At 47.6% G+C, this 25199-nt stretch overlaps 2 protein-coding genes across 39 annotated transcripts in view, besides 6 other annotated features; one reads left to right on the top strand and one right to left on the bottom strand.

The window, feature by feature from the left end:
• PRUNE1 (prune exopolyphosphatase 1) overlaps positions 1 to 13286 on the bottom strand; it is a 27265-nt gene extending 13979 nt beyond the window's left edge. For 4 of the 13 annotated variants that reach the window (NR_130135.2, NR_130131.2, NR_130132.2 and 1 more), the window contains exons 1-2: positions 13064 to 13286; positions 3831 to 3923 (exon numbers count right to left, since the gene is read on the bottom strand). Coding sequence is in view for 6 of the 13 variants with exons in the window: in NM_021222.3 (NP_067045.1) it covers positions 3066 to 3268; positions 3831 to 3923; positions 13064 to 13102 (335 nt within the window). In the remaining 7 variants the exon portion in view is untranslated. Of the gene's footprint in view, positions 1 to 3065; positions 3269 to 3830; positions 3924 to 13063 lie in introns of those variants that run through there. The other 9 variants (NM_021222.3, NM_001303242.2, NM_001303243.2 and 6 more) reach the window with 5 other exon arrangements.
• Positions 12352 to 12892: an enhancer, noted in NCBI's record as "H3K27ac-H3K4me1 hESC enhancer chr1:150981319-150981859 (GRCh37/hg19 assembly coordinates)". NCBI's record gives its function as "activates a minimal SCP1, AML or CMV promoter by ChIP-STARR-seq in primed H9 embryonic stem cells {active_cell/tissue: H9 hESC(primed)}" and the evidence as "EXISTENCE:reporter gene assay evidence [ECO:0000049][PMID:30033119]".
• Positions 12647 to 12696: an enhancer, noted in NCBI's record as "active region_1703". NCBI's record gives its function as "activates an Ori minimal core promoter by ATAC-STARR-seq in GM12878 lymphoblastoid cells {active_cell/tissue: GM12878}" and the evidence as "EXISTENCE:reporter gene assay evidence [ECO:0000049][PMID:35858748]".
• Positions 12893 to 13435: an enhancer, noted in NCBI's record as "H3K27ac-H3K4me1 hESC enhancer chr1:150980776-150981318 (GRCh37/hg19 assembly coordinates)". NCBI's record gives its function as "activates a minimal SCP1, AML or CMV promoter by ChIP-STARR-seq in primed H9 embryonic stem cells {active_cell/tissue: H9 hESC(primed)}" and the evidence as "EXISTENCE:reporter gene assay evidence [ECO:0000049][PMID:30033119]".
• On the top strand, positions 13342 to 25199 carry MINDY1 (MINDY lysine 48 deubiquitinase 1). 26 transcript variants are annotated; one of them, NM_018379.5, is made up of 11 exons: positions 13342 to 13487; positions 14938 to 15423; positions 18767 to 19570; positions 19953 to 20010; positions 20421 to 20485; positions 21120 to 21278; positions 21771 to 21873; positions 22224 to 22366; positions 23462 to 23653; positions 23956 to 24111; positions 24368 to 25199. In NM_018379.5, exons 3-11 carry the CDS (start codon positions 19118 to 19120, stop codon positions 24446 to 24448), a joined length of 1410 nt encoding a protein of 469 aa, NP_060849.3. In that variant the 5' UTR covers positions 13342 to 13487; positions 14938 to 15423; positions 18767 to 19117; the 3' UTR covers positions 24449 to 25199. The 26 variants fall into 26 exon arrangements, with proteins under 26 accessions (NP_060849.3, XP_047281089.1, XP_047281082.1 ...); NM_001163258.3 differs by lacking the exon at positions 14938 to 15423 and adding an exon at positions 15488 to 15634 and having other exon boundaries at positions 13359 to 13487; positions 19029 to 19570; positions 24368 to 24900; NM_001319998.2 differs by lacking the exon at positions 13342 to 13487 and adding an exon at positions 13536 to 14010 and having other exon boundaries at positions 14116 to 15423.
• Positions 14928 to 15107: an enhancer, noted in NCBI's record as "active region_1702". NCBI's record gives its function as "activates an Ori minimal core promoter by ATAC-STARR-seq in GM12878 lymphoblastoid cells {active_cell/tissue: GM12878}" and the evidence as "EXISTENCE:reporter gene assay evidence [ECO:0000049][PMID:35858748]".
• Positions 15338 to 15597: an enhancer, noted in NCBI's record as "active region_1701". NCBI's record gives its function as "activates an Ori minimal core promoter by ATAC-STARR-seq in GM12878 lymphoblastoid cells {active_cell/tissue: GM12878}" and the evidence as "EXISTENCE:reporter gene assay evidence [ECO:0000049][PMID:35858748]".
• Positions 23691 to 24190: an enhancer, noted in NCBI's record as "H3K4me1 hESC enhancer chr1:150970021-150970520 (GRCh37/hg19 assembly coordinates)". NCBI's record gives its function as "activates a minimal SCP1, AML or CMV promoter by ChIP-STARR-seq in naive H9 embryonic stem cells {active_cell/tissue: H9 hESC(naive)}" and the evidence as "EXISTENCE:reporter gene assay evidence [ECO:0000049][PMID:30033119]".

Below are 25199 nucleotides of genomic sequence, written 5' to 3'. Positions count from 1 at the left end.
AAAAAAAAAAAGAAAAAAAAAGGAAAGTTTATTACTGAATGAATCCATAGATGGATAATGCTCTCTCAGGCTGCCTTCTGTCAGTATCCTGCTATAACCACAATGTGCTCAAGAAAAAAATATTAGCAGGAGCCAAACAGACTTAGGAAAGTCACATAATCGTGTTGCTTTTTTGGTAGTTTTTTCCAGTAGTAAATTAGGGATGGAATTATTATAAATGTGTACATTTGTTAAACAGACATTATTGAGATATTTATAGATTAAAAAAAATTTTTTTTTGAGACGGAGTTTCGCTCTTGTTGCACAGGCTGGAGTGCGATGGCATGATCTCGGCTCACCGCAACCTCTGGCTCCCATGTTCAAGCAATTCTCCTGCCTCAGCCTCCTGAGTAGCTGGGATTACAGGCATGTGCCACCACGCCTGGCTAATTTTGTATTTTTAGTAGAGATGGGGTTTCTCCATGTTGGTCAGGCTGGTCTCAAACTCCTGACCTCAGGTGATTCTGCCCGCCTCAGCCTCCCAAAGTGCTGGGATTACAGGCGTGAGCCACCACGCCCGGCCTGGCTAATTTTTTTTTTTTTTTTTTTGAGACAGAGCATCACTCTGTCGCTCAGACTGGAGCGCAGTGGCGCGATCTTGGCTCACTGCAACCTCCACCTCCTAGGTTCAAGCGATTCTCCTGCCTCAGCCTCCCAAGTAGCTGGGACTTACAGGCGCGAGCCACCACGCCCAGCTATTTTTTTTTTTTTTTAAGATGGAGTCTTGCTCTGTCGCCCAGGCTGGAGTGCAAGTGGCATGATCTCAGCTCACTGAAAGCTCCGCCTCCCGGGTTCATGCCATTCTCCTACCTCAGACTCCCGAGTAGCTGGGACTATCGGCGTCCGCCACCATGCCCGGCTAATTTTTTGTATTTTTTAGTAGAGACGGGTTTTCACCATGTTAGCCAGGATGGTCTCCATCTCCTGACCTCATGATCCGCCCCCCTCAGCCTCCCAAAGTGCTGGGATTACAGGCATGAGCCACCGCGCCTGGCCTGAGATATTTATATATTCTAACATAATACATTATTCTAAAATCGTAAGAGTTTATGTAGAAAAACTTTTGCTAACTTTTTGTGTGCTTTTAAATTTTTTTGTAGAGATGGGATCTCACCATCTTGCCCAAGCTGGTCTTGAACTCCTGGGCTCAAGCAACCCTCCTGTTTCACCCTCCCAAAGTGCTGGGTTTACAGGTGTGAGCCACCACACCTGGCCCTTTTGATAACTTAAAAAAATTTTTTTGGAGACAAGTTCTTGCCCTGTCACTCAGGCTGGAGTACAGTGATGTGATCATGGCTTACTGAAGCCTCAATTCCTAGGCTCAAGTGATCCTACCACCTCAGCAGCCTCCTAAGTAGCTGGGACTACAGGCATGCACTACCACACCTGGCAAATTTTTTTATTTTTAGTAGAGACAAGGTCACACTATGTTTATAGATTTTTGTATTTATTATTTTTTTTTAGAGAACAGGGTCTCGCTATAGTGGTCAGACAGGTCTCCCTAAGTGCTGGGATTACAGGCGTGAGCCACCACACCAGGCCACTTTTTAAAAATTAAAAATAGGCCAGGTGTGGTGGCTCACGCCTGTAATCCCACCACTTTGGGAGGCCAAAGTGGGCAGATCATCTGAGGTCAGGAGTTCCAGGCCAGCCTGGCCAACAGCGCAAAACCCTGTCTCCAGTAAAAAATATAAAAATTAGCTGGGCATGGTGGCGCGCACCTGTAATCCCAGCTACTCAGGAGACTGAGGCAGGGAGAATCGCTTGAACCCAGGAGGCAGAGGTTGTTGCAGTGAGCCGAGATCACACCACTGCACTGAAGCCTGGGTGACAGAGCAAGACTCCATCTCAAAAAAAAATAATTAATTAAAATTAAAATTAAAAATAGAGTTGCAGGCCAGGTGTGGTGGCTCACACCTATAAACCAGCACTTAGGGAGGCAGAGGCAGGAAGATAGCATGAGCCTAGGAATTTGAGATCCGCCTGGGCAATATAGCAAGACCCTCTTCTCTAAAAAAAATTTAATAAGTAAGTACAAAAATAAATAATAAGTAAAAAAATAAAAAGAGAATTGCAAACATTTTTCAAAGGTTTCTATTACAATAAATCTGTCTCAGAATCTTTTTTTTTTTTTTTTTTGAGACAGGGTCTCCCTCTGTCTCCCAGGCTTGGAGTGGAGTGGTGTGATCTTGGCTCACTGCAGATTCGACCTCCTGGGCTCAAGTGATCCTCCCACCTCAACCTCCCGAGTAGCTGGGACCATAGGCATGCACCACCGTGCCTAATTTTTAAAAATTTTTTGTAAAGACATGGTTTTGCCATGTTGCTCAGGCGGGTCTTGAACTCCTGGAGCTTAATGGATCTGGCTGCCTTGGCCTCCCAAAGTGCTGAGATTACAGGCGTGAGCCATCACACCCGGCACACAAAATCTTAAATAATGATACCAAAGGCAGATTTAAATGATTTTTGAGTTACCCTTTAGTTTGAACTCAACACGTTCTATTTCTTTTTATTATAGGGTATGTCTATATGCCACAGACATACATATAACTGCAGAACTGACAATATTTTGTGTTGTTTTTCTATATCTAATATGACCTATCAATTATGATTAGCCTATGAGATCCCTGAAAGCAAAAACTCTTTCTTTTTTGAGACGGAGTCTGGCTCTGTCGCTCAGGCTGGAGTGCAGTGGCACGATCTCGGCTCACTGCAACCACCACCTTCCAGGTTCAAGTGATTCTCCCGCCTCAGCCTCCCAAGTAGCTGGGATTACAGGCACTTGCCACCACGCCCAGCTAATTTTTATATTTTTAGTAGAGACGGGGTTTTGCCATGTTGTCCAGGCTGGTCTCAAAATCCTGATCTCAGGTGATCCGCCCGCCTTGGCCTCCCAAAGTGCTGGGATTACAGGCATGAGCCACCATGCCCAGCCAGCAAAAACTCTTTCTTCCTCTCTTTATATCTCACTCATCAGAGCCCAGCATGGTACATGATAGGTAGCAATTTAATTTCCTTGTGCTTACTTGGATAAGATATGATGGTCGACAAGGATGAGGGTGAGTTGGCCAGCCTGGTATAATGCATGGAGGTCAATCTCATCCCGAAAAATCAAGATACTCTCTGGAATATGAACCTTCTGAAGAAAGAAGACAATGTCACCTCGCAGAGGTAGTTCAGAACGTTTTATATTTAAAACTGGCACAAAGACTTCCTCAGCCTCAGTTGTCTAGATAGGAAAGTGAAAAGAAGGTATCACAAGGTTTTATAATGACAGGAAAAAGTAACAAGACTACTGGGACCAAAGGAGACATACTTAGGTAAGTTACCACCTTTCTCAAAGCCATAAGTACCCAGTCTATAAAAATGAAAGGATGACTTTTGCCCTCCCTCCTTCTTAGTAATAACATGAAAGTCAACAAGGTAACTCATGGTAAATACCTATTTCTAGATGCAATGCTGCAGAGAAGGAATTTTTAGTCCTCAAGAACTAACCTGGGCAGAGGAATACACACTAGATCACTGATACCTATACGGAACTCAGTAATAAACTGTTTGAATATTGCTTTATGGTTTACATATCCCTCGAAATATATTTGCTCACTTTTTTCCTCACAGCAACACTGCAAAATATCATTTTAGTTTTTATGGATGGTGGCATGAGACTCAGCAAAGTTAAGGGATTTAATTTACCCAATGCTAAATGCTGGTAAGTGGTAGAGCTGGGTCTTGAATCCAGATCTTTTCGTTCTGAGGGACTCAGATCCTAGGTACTACGTTTTTTTACCCACCTTTGCTAGGTAAAAAGCCAGGGCAAGAGCAGACACTGTGGAGTCCAAATCACAGGCTTCATTTCCCAGCACAACATGTAGAGGTCGGGACTCCTGGAGAGAAAGGAAAATGGGAAACTAACAAAAGTATCTCTATTCATTTCCACTTATCTTTTTTTTTTAAATAATATATATATTTTTGAGACAGGTCTCACTCTGTCGCCCAGGCTGGAATGCAGTAGCGTGATCACAACTCCCTGCAGCCTCAACCTCCTACTAGGTTCAGTCGATCCTCCTGAGTAGCTGGAACTACAGGAAAGCGCCACCATGCCCAGCTAATTTTTTGTATTTTTTTGTAGAGACGGGATTTTGCCATGTTGCACAGGCTGGTCTCAAACTCCTGGGCTCGAGATCCAAAGTGCTGGGATAACAGGTATGAGCCACTGTGCCTGGCCTCTCCATCTACCTTATACTCATGTAGGGCTTCACACACTTCCTCTCATTGATCTTCACAGAGGAGGTAGGTCAAATAATCTAATGGGTCCTCATTCCATAGATGGCATAAGTGTTTCAGCTAAGCTTATAGCATTCTACCTATATCCAGTTTGTAGAAAAGTGTTCTTTCCTCCTATCTCCTTCAATGTTAACTTATAGAGCAGTAAATAAACTTCGGATTTCTTATCTTCTTTGGGCACTCAAACAGTCAAAAAAGGGAATTTGGGGTAGCTGATACATTCAAGGCATGCTCTTGGGCATATCAACCCTGGTTGATTATTTTCTTCCCATTTTCATAATAGGTAAAAGAATGCTTATACTTTTTTTTTTTTTTTTTTGAGATGGAGTTTTGACCAGATTCTCATGCCTCAGCCTCACAAGTAGCTGGGATTACAGGAATGCGCCACCACACCTAGCTAATTTTGTATTTTTAGTAGAGATGGGGTTTCTCCATGTTGGTCAGGCTGGTCTCGAACTCCCGACCTCAGGTGATCCGCCCGCCTTGGCCTCCCAAAGTGCTGGGATTACAGGCGTGAGCCACCGTGCTCGGCCGAATGCTTACACTTCTAAATCATGATTGCAGGTGAAGAGGCTTTGAGAATAAAGGTTAAAAGTAAGATCTAGTCCAGGGCTGGGCGTGGTGGCTGGCGCCTGTAATCCCAACACTTTGAGAGGCTGAGGCGGGCGGATCACCTAAGGTTAGGAGTTTGAGACCAACCTAACCAATATGATGAAACCCCATCTCTACTAAAAATACAAAAATTAGCCAGGCATGGTGGTATGCGCCTGTAATCCCAGCTACTCAGGAGGCTGAGACAGGAGAATTGCTTCAACCCGGCAGACGGAGGTTGCAGTGAGCCGAGATTGCGCCTTTGCACTCCAGCCTGGGCAACAAGAGCGAAACTCCATCTCAAATAAATAAATAAAATAAAATATACTAAAACTGGAGTGCCCAAAATCGGGGTGACAGGGTCTTGGGTTTTGTTTGGTTTTAAGCATTTATTGAATGTGCCAGGCATTATTCTCATATTTTTTCATGCATTAATCAATCATTTAATCTTTAACCCAATGAGGCAGGTACTTATATCATTTCATTCCAGGTATAAGCATTCTGCTGGGTGGAATGAGACCAGAAAGCCTATGGCCCAGCATATGGCACAATACTTCTGTCTTACCTGCTTACTTTTTTTTTTTGAGACAGGGTCTTACTTTGTTGCCCAGGCTGGAGTGCAGTGTCACTATCTTGGCTCACGGCAACCTCCACCTCCTGGGTTCAAGCAATTCTCCTGCACCATCCTCCTGAGTACCTGGGACTATAGGCATGCGCCATGATGCCCGGCTAATTCTTGTATTTTTGGTAGAGATGGGGTTTTGCCATGTTGGCCAGGCTGGTCGTGAACTCCTGACCTCCAGTGATCCGCCCACCTCAGCCTCCCAAAATGTTGGTGTGAGCCACCATGCCCAGCCCACCAGTTTACTTTTGAACTTCTATCTCAGCCTGGTTCTGAGAGAGGATGGGATGAGACAGACAAAATGAGACACACTAAATATAGCAGGGTTTCTCAATTTCAGCATGACTGGTATTTTGGACTAGATAATTCTTTTTCTTTTTTTAACTTTTACTTTTTGAGACAGGGTCTCACTCTGTAACCCAGGCTGGAGTGCATGGCGCAATCACGGCTCACTGCAGACTCCACCTCCCAGACTCAGGTGATCCTCCCATCTCAGCCTCCTGAGTAGCTGGGACTACAGGCACCCGCCACCATGCCCGACTAATTTTTTTTTTTTTTTTTTTTTGAGATGGAGTCTCACTCTGTCGCCCAGGCTGTAGTACAGTGGTGTGATCTCGGCTCACTGTAACCTCCACCTCCTGGGTTCAAGAGATTCTCTTGCCTCAGCCTCCTGAGTAGCTGGGATTACAGGCACATGCCACCATGCTCGGCTAATTTTTGTATTTTTAGTAGAGACGGGGTTTCACCATGTTGGTCAGGCTGGTCTTGAACTCCTGACCTCGTGATCCGCCCGCCTCAGACTCCCAAAGTGCTGGGATTACAGGCATGAGCCACCGTGCCCGGCCCTTGTTTTTTTTTTTTTTTTTCAGATGGAGTCTCACTCTGTCGCCCAGGCTGGAGTGCAGTGGTGCAATCTGGGCTCACTGCAACCTCTGCCTCCTGGGTTCAAGTGATTCTCCCCCTTCAGCCTCCCGAGTAGCTGTAGTAGACTACAGGCGTGCGCCACCACACCCAGCTAATTTTTGTATTTTTTAGTAGAGACAGGGTTTCACCATGTTGGCCAGGCTGGTCTTGAACTCCTGACCTCAGGTGATCCGCCCGCCTCAGCTTCCCCAAGTGTTGGGATTACAGGCGTGAGCCACCACGCCCAGCCAAATTTTTGCATTTTTTGTAGAGATGGGGTTTTACCATGTTGCCCATGCTGATCTCGAACTCCTGGGCTCAAGTGATACAGCTGCCTCGGCCTCCCAAAATGCTTGGATTACAGGCATGAGCCACCATGCCCAGCCGGATAATTCTTTTTTTGTGGAGGCTGTCCTGTGCATTATAGGATATTTGGCAGGATCCCTAGCCTCTACCCACATGGATGCCAGTAGCACCCTAAGTCGTGACAAACAAAAATGTCTCCAGACTTGCTGAATGTTCCCTGGGGGGCAAAACTGCCCCCAGTTGAGAACTACTGGGTTACAAGAAGGTGAAAATCCATATAGTCTGACTTCTTCAATCAGGGAAGATTTGCTAGACTCAAGAGTTTAGCAAAGTGGGAAGGTTCAGAGGAGTAACACATAGCAAAGAATAGTTATCAACTAATGTAACTTTAAGAAAAAAAGGGAATCTAGGGAAACCTAGAATCATCTTCCCTATACAGGCTATCACTCTTCTCTTCCCCCACTGGAAAGCCACAGCTCAAAAAGGGCAATTTTAGAAGACTTCTGGTGGTATCAATTGCCCCATCCAGTTACGAGATAGGTTTTTGTTTTTAAACCACCCTCGTCGCCATCTCCTACTCCCATCCCTGGAGAGAAATACAGAAGACAGAGGTTATCTGTCCGGGTTCTGCCCAAAGGGCCCCTAAAGAAGTTTGCCCTGAGGTCCTCCCCATGCCTATTTCTCTAAGTCTACTTCAAGAGTTTGGAAGCAGGCCGGGCGCGGTGGCTTACGCCTGTAATCCCAGCACTTTGGGAGGCCGAGGCGGACAGATTACAAGGTCAGGAGATCGAGACTATCCTGGCTAACCTGGTGAAACCCCGTCTCTACTAAAAATACAAAAAATTAGCCAGGCGTGGTGGCGGGTGCCTGTAGTCCCAGCTACTCGGGAGGCTGAGGCAGGAGAATCTTTTGCACCCGGGAGGCGGAGGTTGCAGTGAGCCAAGATCGTGCCACTGCACTCCAGCCTGGGTGACCGAGCGAGACTCTGTCTCAAAAAAAAAAAAAAGTGTGGAAGCAAAGGCCCATTCATACTGAACAGCACTGGGGTAGGGGGATTCTTTACTTTTTTCCAAAGCAGTAAGAATTCTACCCAATACCCCAGTCCTATAGTAACTCCTCTGACTTGTAATTCCTCCTCCTGATACCAGAGACCTCTGTTTCCTGGAGACCAAGAACTGCCCAAATGGCTGTGGACCAAAGTGACAGCAAAGCACTTGAGATAAGAGGCTGCAGAAATAACTTGCTCACTGAAGCAGTTAGGGGGAGCGAGTGTTCTCTAGAGAGGAAACTATATAAACATGAGGCATATGGCCCTGACTGGAGGAAAAACATAAGAGCAGTGGAGAAAAGGCAGAGCAAGCAGGAGAGACCTACTGCAGGGTCCAAAGAGATGCTGGAGAACCTTTCCACGCTTATTTACATCAGTGTTGCTTCACTGCAAGCAGCAGCTGAATCAGGTTCAGTTAGATCCTTACCATGAAGAGAATGCTAAGCAGAAAAGCACAAAGTAGGGACCAAATACAGTGGTATGGTTCTGAAGTCAGGAGAAACCATCTACAGAGGAAGGTGAACAATGAACCCCTTGCGCTCAGCCAAACCTAGACAGTAACCAAAAGGAATGAATACAAAAGGAATACTTTGGGACTTGTAGCAAATCTTGGAACTGGAGTGACCAAGGGAGGCAGCAGCATTCCTCTCCCCTGTCAACACCCACTGTCACCCCGGCCTGACTGGACTATTCACCACCCGCAAACCATGATGTGCACATTCCCAGCTCTGCCCTTTGCACTATTTGTTCTCTGTTTGAATGCAGAACTACTATTTGAAAAGATCACAGACTTTGGGGTTGAATTCCAGCTCTGCTTCTTACTTGTTGCAGGACTTTGGACCCTCTAAGCCTCATTTTCCTCATATAAAAATGAGAATAGGCCGAGCGCGGTGGCTCACACCTATGATCCCAGCACTTTGGGAGGCCAAGGTGGGCGAATCACCTCAGGTCAGGGGTTCGAGACCAGCCTGGCAAGCATGGTGAAACTAAAAAGCACAAAAATTAGCCGGGTGTGGTGGCAGGTGCCTGTAATCTCAGCTACTCCAGAGGCTGAGGCAGGGAGAATTGCTTGAACCCGGGAGGCGGAGGTTGCAGTGAGCCGAGATCCCACCATTGCACTCCAGCCTGGGTGACAGTGTGAGACTCCATCTCAAAAAAACAAACAAAAAAAATGAGAATAATATCGTAACCAATTTCATGATGTTGTTAGGAGGATTAAATGAGATAGTACCATAAGTGCCTACGCTGTAAATAGTAAAGATGTGATCTCCCATCTTCTTTCTTTACTTCTCCCCGTTGTTCAAGTCTACCTAATGTCTTTCTCTGTGAAGCCTTCCTGAACACCCAGCCCAGAGAAATCCTCTTCCTCTAAACCTCCAGCTTCTAGCACTTGTGGCTCTGAGACAGACCTTAACTTCTATCTTAAGGAGCTCCCTGTCTTTTCATGGTCATGTATCCCTGATCCTTAACATGGCTTATGTGGTGGGTGACTATATATTTGATTGTTCAAACTGGGACGCTTATGAGAATGAAAAGGGGTGCTATTAATGATTACACAGGGGAAAACCAAGACTGCCCTGGGCAAACCGTGTGTGGGGCTGCCCAACTTATAAGACATCATTCTCTTCTTTATTTAAGAAAAACATGTGTAACCCCTAATTCCAAGCCCATCCTCCACCAGCTGAAAGCACAAGCCAAACAGCCTCAGTTTTCTGACCATCAGAGAAAGAGTTCAGGGAAAATACAGCTATACTTAGCAGCATGAGGAAATCTAAGCTGCCAATGGAAAAAATACAATCTGAGGGCCACAAGTAAATAAATACAAACTTTTTTTCTTTTTTCTTTTTTTTAAAGACCCACTAGTTGGCCAGGCACGGTGGCTCACGCCTGTAATCCCAGCACTTTGGGAGGCCGAGGTGGGCCGACCACGAGGTCAAGAGATTGAGACCATCCTGGCCAACATGGTGAAACCCCGTTTCTACTAAAAATACAAAAATTAGCTGGGCATGGTGGCACATGCCTGTAGTCCCAGCTACTCGGGAGGCTGAGGCAGGAAAATCACTTGAACCTGGCAGGCGGAGGTTGCAGTGAGCCGAGATCATGCAACTGTACTCCAGCCTGGTGACAGAGCGAGACTTTGTCTCAAAAAAAAAAAAAATTAATTAATTAAAATAAATAAATGAATAAACACCCACTAGTTGAAATGACTCTCTTATCCTGATATGTTCTTTGTGGCCTCAAGAGGAGGGGGCAGGGAGGGGATTCTAGGCCTGGCAAAGTAAACCACTTCCCTTCTAAAGCTGAATATGGTATGATAACTACTCTTCAGAATAGTTAATGGGGGAGAAAAATAAACGAGACAGAAAGCCAGAGAGAGACAAACCCTCTCAGCAGAGAAAACAGGAACAATACTGATGCCAGGACTGCAAATTTCTAAGGAGAGCCAGCTCCTGATTCCTGCCTCATGCCTGAGAACTGCACACACTACATTATCCAAGGGGTCCTGGATGAACACCTAAACTGCAATGCAGCCCCACCCTGAAGCAAAGATTTCTCCCCTCAGAAGTGAAAGATGAGTCACCATAAATAGGACATTTGGTTAAATGATTTTTTTTTAATGGAACATCCTATTGTCTCTGTGGCAGAGGCTATAGAAAATTTCTGTGGTATCAAATACTAAAAATATGGTAGCAACGGGAGACTTGGCTGGATTACCAGCTGTCTTTATCCTGCACAAAGAGGAGCATTCATGATTTTCTGAAAGTTATAATTAAACTGTAGTTTAACAGAAACATTCAAACTTAAGAGTGTATCTGTCTAAATCACCTCTCTCTCTTTACACAAGAAACTTAACGGTGTCCTCTGGAGAACTGGATGGAGAGGAGAAAAGAAAAATGATCTTTATCTTTTTCATTTCATATCCCTTTGGTATTTAAATTTGTTCATGAAATACACATTTACTACTTCTATAATTTAAAGCAATCTAGGCTGGGTGTGGTGGCTCATGCCTATAATCCCAGCACTTTGGGAGACCAAGGCAGGCATATCACTTGAGGTCAGGAGTTCAAGACCAGCCTGTCCAACATGGTGACACCCTGTCTCTACTAAAAATACAAAACTTAGCCAGGCATAGTGGCGCACACTTGTAATCCCAGCTACTCAGGAGGCTGAGGCAGAAGAATCGCTTGAATTCGGGAAGTGGAGGTTGCAGTGAGCCTACTCCAGCCTGGGCGACAGAGTGAGTCTATCTCAAAAAAAAAAAAAAAAAAATTAAAGCAATTTAAATTGTTGGCATCTACCAGTATGTCTTGCCATCAGTTCCCCTGTTAACCTTCCTAGAGTCTAATTTTCTCATTTCTCCAGGCCCTGGAGAGGCTATGTGATGATGCAAGCTCTAAGACACAATCTCACCTTTCACAAGTTCACAAGTTTGAAAGGAAGATCTAGATCTTGCTCCTTGGGGGATGAATGCAGGGAGAGAAAGGTCGAGATGCCAGCAGTATTGGAAAAATCAAGTATTTTTCCAGCTTCATATTGCTGTAGAGAATATACTATTCGGGCTGGGTACAGTGGCTAACACCTGTAATTCCAACACCTTGGGAAGCCAAGCCAGGGGGATTGTTTGAGTCCAGGAGTTTGAAACCAGATTGGGCAGCATGGCGAGACCCTGTCTCTATAAAAATACAAAAAATTAGCCCTGCGTGGTGGCACTGCCTATAGTCGCAGCTTTTTCGGGAGGCTGAGGTGGGAGGATCACTTGAGCCGGGGAGGTGATCACACCATTGCACTCCAGCCAGGGCAACAGAGTGAGACCCTGGCTGAAAATAAATAAACAAATACAAAATAAAAATAGAGAATATACTACTAACCTGGGGGTCGGGGGAGGCTCTGGAGGATATATGCTGGAGAGTAGATGCATGCAAAGAAATACTATTTGGTGAGGTTTCAGGTCCAAGGGCACTTTACCAAATGGTGGAAGAGACCAGTCATTTGGGTTACTGGGGGGTAAAATCCAACTGTTTAGCACTTAGAACGGTGCCCCAAAAACTCTACATTAGTCCTCCAATAAGCGCCCTGTGGTGGACTCAGAGGTAACAAAAAGGGATTGGTTCCAAATGGCCTTATGCATTGAAATAACTCCCCAAATTTGTTTTTCACAAGGAAAATGTCTATGTAATTGGTGTTAAAATGGACCTTCTCCCCAATTCAATATGAAGACAATTCATTTATTCCAGCAGCTGAGTCTGCAGCAGGAATTAGTGACTTTCAGGATTTGTTAAAGACCAGAATCTGTCCCTCAGGGGAATTTGTAGAGTTTAAGATATCTAAAAAGGAAAGCTCAGCAAGCCATCTATCTAGGTTTCTTCAGGGCAGTATAACTCAAAGTAGAGGGGCCGGGTGACCTCCTGGAGCCTGTCTCTGGTTAGCTTTTTGCTGCTAACTGGGGATAACAGCCTAATGCCTCATGACGGCTCAGCATGGCTGGGTGAGTCCAACTGAGTCAGAGAGCACCAAAAATAAGCCACAAAGCATTGAGTAGTCATATTTATGGTTTTGATTCCAAACACACTTTGTGCTTATCCCTTCCAAGTGGAGAATTTTTATGTCATTTGTGTGCGTTAAGGCCAAAGGAGAAACCTGGAGGCAAAGGAATGCTGGTTGTGGGTCAACAAATATGCCTGATGGATTTTGTATGTTTGGCTTAAAAACACTGACTTAAAGTAAAATACTGTGACTACTTCTAACCTAGAAATGAGTTCAGCCCGCCAGACAGAAACTGCCATTCGGAGGAAATAAGGCCGTGAGCACCGGTTCCCTCCACACCCCCGAGGTTCACCTGGAGGCCAGTGGGCCAAGCGAAGCCTTGGGAGCGGAGAACTCAAAGAGGGGCGGGGAGAAAAGAATAAACACACCTCGCGGGGCTAGGCTGGCGGCGGCACAGTCCTGGTTTTTTTGATGGAACTGACCAAGATGACAGCAAGCAGAGGCTCAAATGCAGGATTCAGACCCAAGACTTCTCCCCGCTCTCAGGCGGACCCCAAAGGCGGGGAGCCAAAAACCGGGAGACTGAACAAGCAGCATTCTCACGCTCCTAAACTGGCTTCTCGCTCCTCGCTCCTCATGCCCCAAAACTGATCAGGCCCCAACCCCCCTCCCCACAACTCAGTGTTCCCTCCACACGGACCGTCGAGGCTCCCCCAGATCCCACGTCTTCGTCCTTCCTGGACCCCGTGCTCCATTCCTTACAGTCACAGACAGGGATTCGTTACCTGCAGAGCAGCTCGACAACCCTGCAGGTAGTCCTCCATGATGAAGCCCAAAGTACGCCGTCGCCCCTGGTCGAGTAGAGGTGCCCCTGGTCGAGGAGAGGTTTCCCCGACGAATGCAGCCCGCCCGGGACTCAGGGACTAGAGGCCAGAGTCAGGAGGCGGGACTCGAACCCGCCACACGGCGAATCGGCCTCCGACCCCGGGAGGAACTGCGTAAGCGGGCGCTCCGGAGTCCGGCGTCGCCCCGCCCCCAGCGGCGGAGGCGGGGCTCTACGCCCAGAGGCTCCTGGGACGTCTTTCCGGCGAGGCCAAGGGGGCGTGGCGTGGGGCGACGTGGGAAACGTAGTCCCGCAACTCCGCAATGTCCCTAGCAACCGAGGGAAGGATTGTTTTCTGAGGGATCAGTCGTTCGGTAAACAAATGTGTATGTGTCACAGTAACCCATTATTGTGGCATCTGAACTTTCCCTCTCAGATCAGGCCAAGTATAACATCTTTACATATATCACACCGAGCATCTGGTGACATTTTAAATGACACTTGGCAAAACAGATCATCTTCTTTCTACAAATTCTGCCCTTTACCAAACTGACTCAGTCGCCACCAATTTTGTGGTTGTTCATGTTAGGAGAACATTAGAATAATCTTTGACCCCTCTTGTTAACACCTACAGTCTCCTGCCAACTCCTGCTGCTTCTCCCTTTGCAACTCTGTAGCCTGTTTTTTTCTACAGCCTCGGCAAATATCTTCTTCCTTTCTTGGACGGTTGTAACCTTGGCTTTTTGCTCTCTGCCACCCTAATTGTTCCAATTGCTCTTTCAGCCTTTAGAGTTGCTTGAAATTTCATCCTGTGGCGGCCCTGTACATAGAGTTTAGGGAACCCTTCAGAATGTGGAGTTAGGTTCCAACCTCCCTTAACTGCCACTTTCCAGCCGCAGAGTAGTGCAGGTACTGCAAATAAATGGACACTCATCATCAAAAATTCCCTCATTTATTTATCTATCCCTTTATTTCCTACCGTCAGCCTCACACCAGCTTTTCCTGCTTCCCCAGCTGTAAATCGAGAGGAGGTGACTGATGAGAGGCCTGCAGTGGAACCAAGATCCAGAGCACAGGCGTGTTGGATCTCCTGCCTGCTCTGCCAGTTCTTTTCTTCTTCTTCTTCTTTTTGAGACGGAGTCTTGCTCCGTCTTCAGGCTGGAGTGCAGTGGCAGGATCTTGGCTCACTGCAACCTCCACCTCCCGGGTTCAAGCGATTCTCCTGCCTCAGCCTCCCGAGTAGCTGGGACTACAGGCATGTGCCACCATGCCCTGCTAATTTTTGTATTTTTAGTAGAGATGGGGTTTCACTATGTTGGCCAGGTTGGTCTTGATCTCTTGACCTTGTGATCCGCCCGCCTTGGCTTCCCAAAGTGCTGGGATTACAGGCGTCAGCCATCGCGCCCAGAGCCTGGGGCTTCTACCACACCCTCTGCACTCTACCAGGTGCACAACCCAACCAGTTTCATTTCTAGACTTAAAAATGATACAGCAAGGACTTGGAAAGGAGCTCTCTGGAGGGCTCCAGAGGGAAAAGAGCTGGGTTTGTTTGTTTGTTTTTAACATTAATTGAGTAATACATGCAAATATCGTGCTCTTTGCTCCTGCTTCTGTGGATCCAGAGCAAAGGACTGCCATACCCAGAGAGAGAGCCCAGATCCAACAAGCTGCTTCTGTCCAGCCCTTCTCCTCCCTACTTAGCAAGGGCACTTGCTCTTCCCTATTCTCACCAGAGAGGCACAAGCGCTCCGTCCCTTCTAGAGGCAGGCAGAGGGAAGAGAAAGGGTCTGTTGTTTTTCTCTCCTGTTTCTCGCTCCCTCTCTGCTGATCACAAAGCTGCTGACCGGGTCAGAAAGTCCTGATGGAAATCCACCAGCGCTGGGCAGGCCCCTCCTCCTCCAGGGAGCTTGTCCTTGCCTAATTTTTCTTCGTCCTGATGAGAACAAAAAAGAGAGAGAGAAGAAAAGAAAAACCACAAACTTCCTTTGAAAACCAGCTTGTAGTCAGGGCCCGGAGCGCATGCCATAGACTCGGCGACTCAGGAATCCTGAAGACTCTCTGAGCGACCTGGAGCACCTTGGCTGTGTCCCTGCCTGCCTTCACCCTCCTCCAGTGCCCCCAGTACTGGGCGTGAGTCCGGAAGTGGCCACAACCCAGCCTGGACCGTCGCTTATAAAGCTGTGTAAACCTGTATAAGCTCAGGCGTTGACAGCTGGAAGGCAGCTGGCACTGGCAGCCCCCTTCATTGCACCTATCTCCCCCATCTCATTGCCACGGCTGAACCCTCCTTCTCAATCTTGGAACAGCACCCCCTTCTTTAAGGTAAAAACTTTATTTTAATCATCTTCTTCACCTCTTCTCCCACCCTTCTCTATTTCCTCTCCAGCTTTGGGGAGCTGACACCTGCTGTCCTTCCACCTTTGGTCTGCAAGTCTGGATTGCTTAGAGGAGCTAAGTCAGGAGAGACATGTAAAGGGGATGCTGCTTGGTCCTCCTCCTTTTAATGAAAGCACGAAACCTTCCCCCTCTCCTTGTGAGCAAGTATACAGGGCACTGTGGCCATGGTTGACATATTCTGAGATGAAAATCTAAACTATTGATTGCACAAAGACATAGGTCAGACTAAGAAGGAGATTGGTGTGAGACAGTAAGGGAACTGTTCCTACAGAGAAGGAGTGTCTTCTTGAAGCTACATACCTGTTTTACGTGCTTCTTCCAACTTTCGGCTCTCTACTGCCATTGATTAGGGAGGAGCCAGGATTATTTTAACTCCCTCACTCACCACCATAATTCCAGCTGGAGAGAAAGTGTAGGATTTGACGAGCTAAGAAAGAGGAGGAAAAGAATGAAACTTTGATTTATCTGACTATCCTCTCCCTCATTCTTTCCTACTCTGAAATACTCCATGCCCTCCCCAGCAGGATTGGACGTTGTAGAGTAGAAAGCCTCCATTACATTTCCTGCCCCTGCCTCTTAAGACTTAGCCCATTTAGCTCTGCCCAGTTCCTCTGAGACCCCACTCCCTCAGGTGTCCACTCCTGGGTTCCTTTGGCTCACCTCTCCAGCCAGCTAGCTGCCCAACCCCCACTTCATCATTGATCATTTCTGGCACTGGAGAGAAAATATAAAAAATAAGGCCTGCTTTTCTTTTTTTTTTTTCTTTTTTTCTTTTTTTTTTTGGAGGCAAGAGTCTCACTCTTGTCACCCAGGCTGGAGTGCAGAGGCACAATCTTGGCTTACTGCAACCTCCACCTCCGGGGTTCAAGCAATTCTCCTGCCTCAGCCTCCTGAGTAGCTGGGATTACAGGTGCCCGCCACCGTGCCCGGCTAATTTTTGTATTTTTAGTAGAGATGGGGTTTCGCCATGTTAGCCAGGCCGATCTTGAGCTCCTGACCTCAGGTGATCCGCCCGCCTCGGCCTCTCAAAGTGCTGGGATACAGGTGTGAGGCACTGTGCCCGGCCAAGGCCTGCTTTTCTTCAAGCTTTTTCACTTTTCCAGGCTCTGGCATCTGCTTTGAGGTTCACCCTAAGTGTCATTTAAGGGGAGAAGGAAAGGAGAGAGAGAAAGAGAGAGAAAAAAAAGCATAAGGCCTGCAGGCAATTTTTGCTACTCTGATTCTAAATTAACAACACGTAAATGATATGCAGCTAGCATAAACATATGTGAATCAAGAGGATAATCAATTTGAGTGACTAGGCTTATTTTGTTTCAGTAACTTTAATGTTCCTCAACCTCATCTCCCAGGCCTTCCCCTAGCCCCAAATTCCTGTAGGTTTACAAGAAGGAAGCAGTCTCAGGCTGGGAGGAGGGTGGAGAAAAGACAAGATTTCTAACTAGTTTAATTTATTTTATTTTATTTTATTTTATTTTATTTTATTTTATTTTATTTTATTTTATTTTTGAGATGGAGTTTCGCTCTGTCACCCAGGCTGTAGTGCAGTGTCACCATCTCAGCTCACTGCAACCCCCTGCCTCCCAGGTTCAAGCAATTCTCCCACCTCAGCCTCCCGAGCAGCTGTGACTACAGGCACGTGCCAACACACCTGGCTAATTTTTGTACTTTCAATACAGACAGCGTTTTGCCATGTTAGCCAGGATGGTCTCGATCTCCTGACCTCAAGTAATCTGCCCGCCTCAGCCTCTCAAAGTGCTGGGATTACAGGCGTGAGCCACCGCGCCTGGCCCCTAACTAGTTTAATTTCTCCCTGTTTCTCTCCCTGATAAAGAGTGGGAGGGGAGCAAGGAGATTGAAGGGAGATGTTTTCCAAAGGGCAGGATTTGTGGTTTTTTATTATTTATACCCACAGTATTAGTTAAATGTCTATCTGTGCTTGCCTCAATGTGCCTCCAGTGCTGATAGAGAACAGGTTAAACAGGTCCGGTGTTCACATCTAAAATGACCTGGAGAGGACTGGGCACGGTGGCTCATGCCTGTAATCCCAGCACTTTGGGAGGCCAAGGTGGGAGGATCACCTGAGGTCGGAAGTTCAAGACCAGCCTGACCAACATGGAGAAACTCCATCTCTACTAAAAAATACAAAATTAGCTGGGCATGGTGTTGCATGCCTGTAATCCCAGCTACTCGGGAGGCTGAGGCAGGAGAATCACTTGAACCCAGGAGGCAGAGGTTGCAGTGAGCCGAGGTCGCACCATTGCACTCCAACCTAGGCAACAAGAGCAAAACTCTGTCTCAAAAAAATAAAAATAAATAAATAAAACCACTTGGATGGGAATAGACATAAAACTTTAGGTAGGTGAATGTACAGGAAGTATTGTTATGTAAATTAATAATCAGCATTTTCATATTTCATAGAAATAGCAGGCAAGAGAGTACCTCTGGGTTTAGGTAGTTTCTGGGGAAAAAAAATGAACTGAGGAAAAGTTGCTGTCTCAATGCTAGCTGTCAAGAGATGCTTACTGGGTCCAGGCACCGTGGCTCATGCCTGTAATCCCAGTCCTTTGGCAGGCTGAGGAGGGCGGATTGCTTGGGCCCCCAGGAGTTAAGACCAGCCTAGGCAACAAAGCAAGACCCTGTCTCAGTTTAATTAAAAGAAATTTGATATCTTTATTAATTTTTTTTAAAGAGAAGCTTACTGGAAGAACTTGTGGGGAGTGCTTTTTGTGCCCCTAATCTGAAGTTATTTATCAAAACCAGTCTCTGATTCCAGCCCCCACCACCTACATTTCCCCTCCCAGCTTACAGGAAACCCCTCCCAAGGCCTTTATACTGTGGTTTGGGATTGTGTAAGGTTCAGTAGAGCCCTTTGAGGTGGAAGACTTCCCCTTCCTCACCAGCATTTCACCTTTAGGGGCATGAAACTGACTCTCTGTGCCTCCTCCATTCTTCACCCCAAGTACTATGTGACTTAATCTTTTTATCCTTGGGTGAGGCAGAGAGAAGGTATCCCTAAACATACAAGCACTGTGTATTCTTAGTATGTTGTGTGAAGGGGCAGGGTGTGGGGTAGGGCAGAGGAATTATCTCTGTCATGGCTATGAGGGGGTTACTGATGTGATGCCTATTAGAGTAAGCTAAAGATCATCATATTAATAACCATTAGCGTAGATTTAACATTTCTTTCTCCACCTCTTATCCTTCTTTCTCCTTTGTGCTCTCCCTTTCTCTCTGTCTTTCCTCCCTTCCCTGTCATGATCTGTTTCAGGGAAGCTGACTCCACCCATGTGTTCAATCCCACCAGTCTTCCCTCCCAAGTCTGGAAGCCCCACGACCTCTTGGTCTCATCTGGTCACAGCAAGTTAGAGGTGGAAAGAGCTCAGCACGGGGCCCTTCTGTTTACACATATACTGCCCATAGCCAGGAGTTACTGCACAAACACTAGCCAGCCTTCTACACTACATTCCTTTTCCAAGACTTTTCTGGGTTAGTTTGCTTTCCAGCCCACTGATTTCCTTCTTATTGGACAGGTCACTCTTTTGCATCCCAAGCCTGGCTTAGGCAAGTCCCTGAGGTTAGTAAACACCTTCAGTGCCCCTCAGCCAAGTCCCTTTTGACCATGGAATACCATCAGCCTGAGGATCCAGCCCCTGGTAAGGCCGGGACTGCAGAAGCAGTCATCCCTGAAAACCATGAGGTTCTGGCAGGCCCAGATGAGCACCCTCAGGACACAGATGCAAGAGATGCTGATGGGGAGGCTAGAGAACGGGAGCCAGCAGACCAAGCTTTGCTGCCTAGCCAGTGTGGGGACAACCTTGAGTCCCCTCTGCCTGAAGCTAGCTCAGCTCCACCGGGGCCAACCCTTGGGACACTGCCTGAAGTAGAGACAATAAGGGCATGCTCCATGCCCCAGGAGCTTCCTCAGTCCCCCAGGACCCGACAGCCTGAGCCAGATTTCTACTGTGTCAAGTGGATCCCTTGGAAAGGAGAACAGACACCCATCATCACCCAGAGCACTAACGGCCCTTGCCCTCTCCTTGCCATCATGAACATCCTCTTTCTTCAGTGGAAGGTAAGAGAACATGCAGTTAGGGGTGCAAAAAATATCAGGGAGTACTCTTCCCTGACTTACTTCCTTGATCATCCTGATGTCCTCAAACTAGTCAAAACTTTTCAGATTGTTCTCCCTATTTCTCCAGCTTGAGCAAATGAGATAAGATGTTCCTAAAAACAAAGAAAAAAAAAAAAGAGGAAGATCTGTCCTACCCCTGTATCTCCTACTCCCTAGCAAATGCACATGCCTTGCAAGATTTCACATTCATTCCCTTGTGCCAGTTGCAAGCCTTTTTTCCTACCCCACCCTACTACTGGAGCTCCCCCTTGCCTTTCCATGGGTTCTTCCTTCAGTGCTCTTTGGAGGAAAGCACACACGTGATCACCCCTTCTGCCTCCAGGTGAAGCTCCCCCCGCAGAAGGAAGTGATCACATCGGATGAGCTCATGGCCCATCTTGGTGAGTGACTGGGCGTTGAAGAGGAATTACCCAAGGGGCTCCAGAGCTATCCACTCAGCCAGAAATCCAGACTATTCAGGGATCTCCATTTGGGGGTTCTGATACAGCAGGGAGGGTAAGGGTCTATGGGGCTTCTCTGCAAGGCTGGAGAATGAAAAGCAAAGGCGTCGGGAGTCCTGGGTTGTAACACCAATTCTGCCCTTAGCTTTTGTATCTGACCCTGGGTGGGCCGTTCACCTTTATGAGGCTGTCGCCTCCTCTGAGAAATGAAGAGTCTGGATTAGACTCTAAGTATTTTCCAGCTCTGAAAATCTGTGTTCTGTGACATTACCCGCATTCTCCAGGAGAAGAGGAAACTTAGCTTTTGGGATGATTGGTGGGGTAAGCTGATAAGGGGCCCTGTCTTGTAGGAAACTGCCTCCTGTCCATCAAGCCCCAGGAGAAGTCAGAGGGACTTCAGCTTAATTTTCAGCAGGTGAGGCAAAAGGTCTGCAGGCATAGGGGTTTGCAGGTTTGTAAGGGGACATCTTGTAATACTAAGATAAGCTTTTGTTGCTTCTTCAGAGGTTTCCTTGAACCATGATTTCATTCTGCAGGAGTCAGAGGAGAGTTTATCTTTGTCCTAGAAAATATGTTCATTGGCCGGGTGCTCACACCTGTAATCCCAGCACTTTGAGATGCCAAAGCGGGAGGATCACTTGAGGCCAGGAGTTCGAGGCCAGCCTGGGCAACATAATAATACCCCTGTCTCTAAAAAAAACCATTTTTTTTTTCAAGAATTAGCCAGGTATGGCGGTGCGTGCCTGTAGTCCCAGCTACTCAGGAGGCTGAGGTGGGAGGGTCACTTGAAACCAAGAGTTTGAGGCTGCAGTGAGCTAGGATCACACCACTGCACTCCAGCCTGGATGAAAGAATTAGACTTAGACTCTCAAAGAAAAACAATGTTCATTTATATAAGATAGAGAAGGGTTGAGGCAAGGGAGAAATGGAGTGGCTTGTAAGAGAATCAGGGAAGAAGAGCAGCAAGGTTAATTTTTAATTTCTGCAGGTGGGAGTGGAGTGGTGGGAGAGAAGGCTAGAATCTCCATCATTTTTTTTTCTACCCCCAGAATGTGGATGATGCAATGACAGTGCTGCCTAAACTGGCCACAGGTCTGGATGTCAATGTGCGATTCACAGGCGTCTCTGATTTTGAGTATACACCCGAGTGCAGTGTCTTTGACCTGCTAGGCATACCTCTGTACCATGGCTGGCTTGTTGATCCACAGGTGAGGGTGGGAGGGCCCACTGGGACCTTATCCAGCTCAAGCTGACATGAGAGAGGCAAATTTTTGTCGGGTAGAGGTTAGGGAGTTAGGGGTTAGATTGGCTTGGGAGGGAAATAGTGTTTAGAGACTGGACCCAGTACAGAATTCCTTGAATTTTAATCTATTTTGGGGGTAACATGCAAATACAAGCAAACTACATGCAAATAGGTCAGTTCTTTAGACATCAAAAATTCAGGAAGCAGATGGGTTTGGTGGCACATGCCTGTATTCCCAGCTACTTGGGAGGAGTTCGAGGCCAGTCTGGGCAACATAGCAACCCTATGATGAATGGTTCCTGAAATTTTTTTCTTTTTTGAGAGACCAAAAAAAAAAAGTGTTTAGGAACCATTCATCACAGGGTTGTAGTCCTTGTGAGCTTTGTTCATTTCCTTCCTTAAAAAAGAAAAAAAAATCCCAATTTTTTTGGTATCCCACATCCCACTACCCAAGCAGAGTCCTGAGGCTGTGCGTGCAGTTGGGAAACTGAGTTACAACCAGCTGGTGGAGAGGATCATCACCTGCAAACACTCCAGTGACACCAACCTCGTGACAGAAGGTGACATTCCTCCCCTTCTCATGGATAGTATGTGGAGGGAATGACAGCTACTTAGGCTTATTTTTTATTGGGTGTCATCTCCTACCACATCCCACTAGATATAAGCTTCACAAGAAGGAGCTTGGGGAATTTCTGTTTAGTTCATTGAGGTATCCCCAGTGCCTGGCACAAGGTAGCTGCTCTATTATAAGTATTTGTTAAGTGAATGAATACAGCCAGGTTTCAAGAAAGGGACGTCAGAAGGTGGGACTGACCCCCCGGGGCTTTTGACAGGGGCTCTCTGGATGGTCCTTCCTGTTGTGGACCTTGAATTTAAGCCAAGTTTCCCCCGACTCGTCCCTTTCTGGCAGGCCTGATTGCAGAGCAGTTCCTGGAGACCACCGCGGCCCAGCTGACCTACCACGGACTGTGTGAGCTGACAGCAGCTGCTAAGGAGGGTGAACTTAGCGTCTTTTTCCGAAACAACCACTTTAGCACCATGACTAAGCATAAGGTAATGCGAGTTTGGGGGTGGCGTGCTGCGGTGCTGTCATTTCCTGGTGCCTTTTTCTCGTGGGTCCAGCTGGGATCAGCTAGATTAAGCCGTGGTAGCAAGTGACCCCTCAAATCCCTGTGGTTTACCACAACAAAGGTTCATTTCCCGCTCCTGGTGCGTGTCCACTGTGGACTGGCTACGGTTCTGTCCCACACCATCTTCACTCTGGGACCCAGCTGACAAAAGATCCTTTATCTGGAATATATGTGGGAACAGAGAGAGAGAGGGGCACTGTGCACTCATGCTTAGAGCTTCTGTTTGGAAATGACACATGTCATTTCTGCTCACATCTTCTGGCCAGAGCAAGCCATAAGGGATAAGCCTGCCGTCGATGGGACAGGAAAGTATGATCCTCCCCTAGGAGGGGGCAGTGGAATTTTTAAACAATGCTGGTCTTCAAAAGTTAGAAACTGCCAAAGCTCTCTAGGATTTGAGCAGCAGAGGGAGGGGTCTCTGGTTCTCAAAGGATTTATCCTAAGAGCCATCAGGCAAGCCCAGAGAACAATGGGAAATGGGGGGAGCAGGGTCTTATGTGGCATCTCAGCCCCAACGACTCCATGCCACGCTTAGCCAGAATGACCACCGTGCTCACACCCAACTGGACATACACTCAGACATCCCTTTCTTCCCCCCAAGGCCACACATATTTGTAAAAGGTCCGCATGCTCAGGGTCCGGGTGCGGTGGCTCATGCCTGTAATCCCAGCACTTTGGGAGGCCGAGGCGGGCAGATCATGAGGTCAGGAGATCGAGGCCATCCTGGCTAACACGGTGAAACCCCGTCTCTACTAAAAAAATACCAAACATTAGCCAGGCATGGTGGCGGGTGCCTGTAGTCCCAGCTACTTGGGAGGCTGAGGCAGGAGAATGGTGTGAACCTGGGAGGCAGAGCTTGCGGTGAGCAGAGATTGTGCCACTGCACTCCAGCCTGGATGACAGAGCGAGACTCCATCTCCAAGAAAAAAAAAGTCCACATGCTCATACCGAGATTTCTGGCAGTGAACTGCCTCCGTATCAACTGTCCCCCCAATGAGCTCTGTTCTTTTCTTTGTAGAGTCACTTATACCTACTGGTCACTGACCAGGGCTTTCTACAGGAGGAGCAAGTCGTATGGGAGAGCCTGCACAATGTGGATGGAGACAGCTGCTTTTGTGACTCTGACTTTCACCTGAGTCATTCCCTGGGCAAGGGGCCTGGAGCAGAAGGTGGGAGTGGCTCCCCAGAAACGCAGCTGCAGGTAGACCAGGTGTGTAGGGCACTTAGGAAAAGTGCAGAGAGCACATGTGCCTCAGAGAGCTTTTTACTGCATACATTTTAACTGCTAGAGGCCATGTGAACCCATGCCTCTCTCTCTGGGTTACCTCAGACCGTCTCCTCACTTGGTGTGTATTCTCTGGCACCACAGATAATGCATTTGGCTGTGTGTGCTGCTCTGTGGGGAGAAAGAGCTAGAGAATTTGAGGGATGTGGGAAAACTGATTTGGAAACCTTGCCTGAATAGCCACGGCTCTGGGCCTCAGCCCACTGCACAACTCTTGTTCTCCCCAGGACTACCTGATTGCTCTGTCCCTGCAGCAGCAACAGCCACGAGGCCCGCTGGGGCTTACCGACTTGGAGCTGGCCCAGCAGCTTCAGCAAGAGGAGTATCAACAGCAGCAGGCAGCGCAGCCAGTGCGGATGCGGACGCGGGTCCTGTCACTGCAGGTGGGCTGCTGCCTGGGCGCCCACACTCCCGGTTTCCACCTCATGCTTTGCCGGGTCCAGAACACCTGTTATTCCTGCACTGGTCTCTTCAAGGTTTCTTCTCTCAGAGTCCTTCCCCTGCCTGTCCCTCTCCCCTGGAGCCCCTTCCTGTCTTCCTCTCCCTACTCTCTGTCCCAATCCTGACACCCCTTCTTCTAGAATCTCTTCTTGTGCTCTTCCAAGGAAGTTCAGTGACCAATTGTTAAATCCGATACAGGGGAGAGGAGCCACATCTGGACGCCCAGCCGGGGAGCGTCGGCAGAGGCCGAAGCACGAGTCAGACTGCATTCTGCTGTAGCTCTGCCCCAGTGCCAGGCTGGCCTGCCCCTTCTTCCAGAGGCTATGGCTAGTTGGCTTGCTCCCCCGCCTCCACCCCTGAGATGTGCTGGATAACTTATTTATGGACTGTTGGGGATGAGAGCAGGCAACAAATGCCAAGGTCAGACTTGGTAATGTCCTTGACCTCACGTGCTGCTGCCTTCTCTGCCTCCCATCCAGGGCAACACTAGGATTGGTGGGTTTCTGGTTCTCAACTCCCGGTCCCTGAATAGTCACACGTATGTACAGACTGAGGCTCTGGGGTGAGGTCCCTATCCAGAATGCATCTCTTCTGCTTCCCATCCCTGCTGCCTGGATGCTCCTGATCACCTAGGCAGGCCTGTCTCCAGTTGTTTCAGAGCTTAATTTGGGTTTCTATCTCTTATTTGTAATGCCTTCCTGGGGTTTGGAAATAAAACTTCTGGCCGGGCACGGTGGCTCACTCCTGTAATCTCAACAATTTGAGAGGCCAAGGTGGGCGGATCACCTGAGGTTAGGAGTTCGAGACCAGCCTGCCCAAAAAGGTGAAACCCCGTCTCTACTAAAAATACAAGAAATTAGCTGGGCGTCATGGTGGGCGCCTGTAATCCCAGCTACTCGGGAGGCTGAGGCAGGAGAATCACTTGAACCTGGGAGGTGAAAGTTGCAGTGAGCCGAGATCGCACCATTGCACTCCAGCCTGGGCGACAAGAGCAAAACTGTCTAAAAAAAAAAAAAACCTTCTTTCCTGA

The sequence above is a fragment of the Homo sapiens genome, chromosome 1, assembly GCF_000001405.40.
Source record: "Homo sapiens chromosome 1, GRCh38.p14 Primary Assembly".
Classification (NCBI taxonomy): domain Eukaryota; kingdom Metazoa; phylum Chordata; class Mammalia; order Primates; family Hominidae; genus Homo; species Homo sapiens.
Note: the sequence above shows the minus strand (reverse complement) of the source record. Positions and strands in the feature narration are given on the sequence as shown.

What these genes read in the sequence shown, in the direction of transcription:
- MINDY1 (XM_017001777.2), top strand. Translation starts at nt 15,580, where the DNA reads ATGCTGCTTGGTCCTCCTCCTTTTAATGAAAGCACGAAACCTTCCCCC. An exon ending in CGCAGCTGCAGGTAGACCAG is followed by an intron (nt 23,654 to 23,955) that starts GTGTGTAGGGCA and finishes TGTTCTCCCCAG; the next exon opens with GACTACCTGATTGCTCTGTC. An exon ending in CGCGGGTCCTGTCACTGCAG is followed by an intron (nt 24,112 to 24,367) that starts GTGGGCTGCTGC and finishes AATCCGATACAG; the next exon opens with GGGAGAGGAGCCACATCTGG.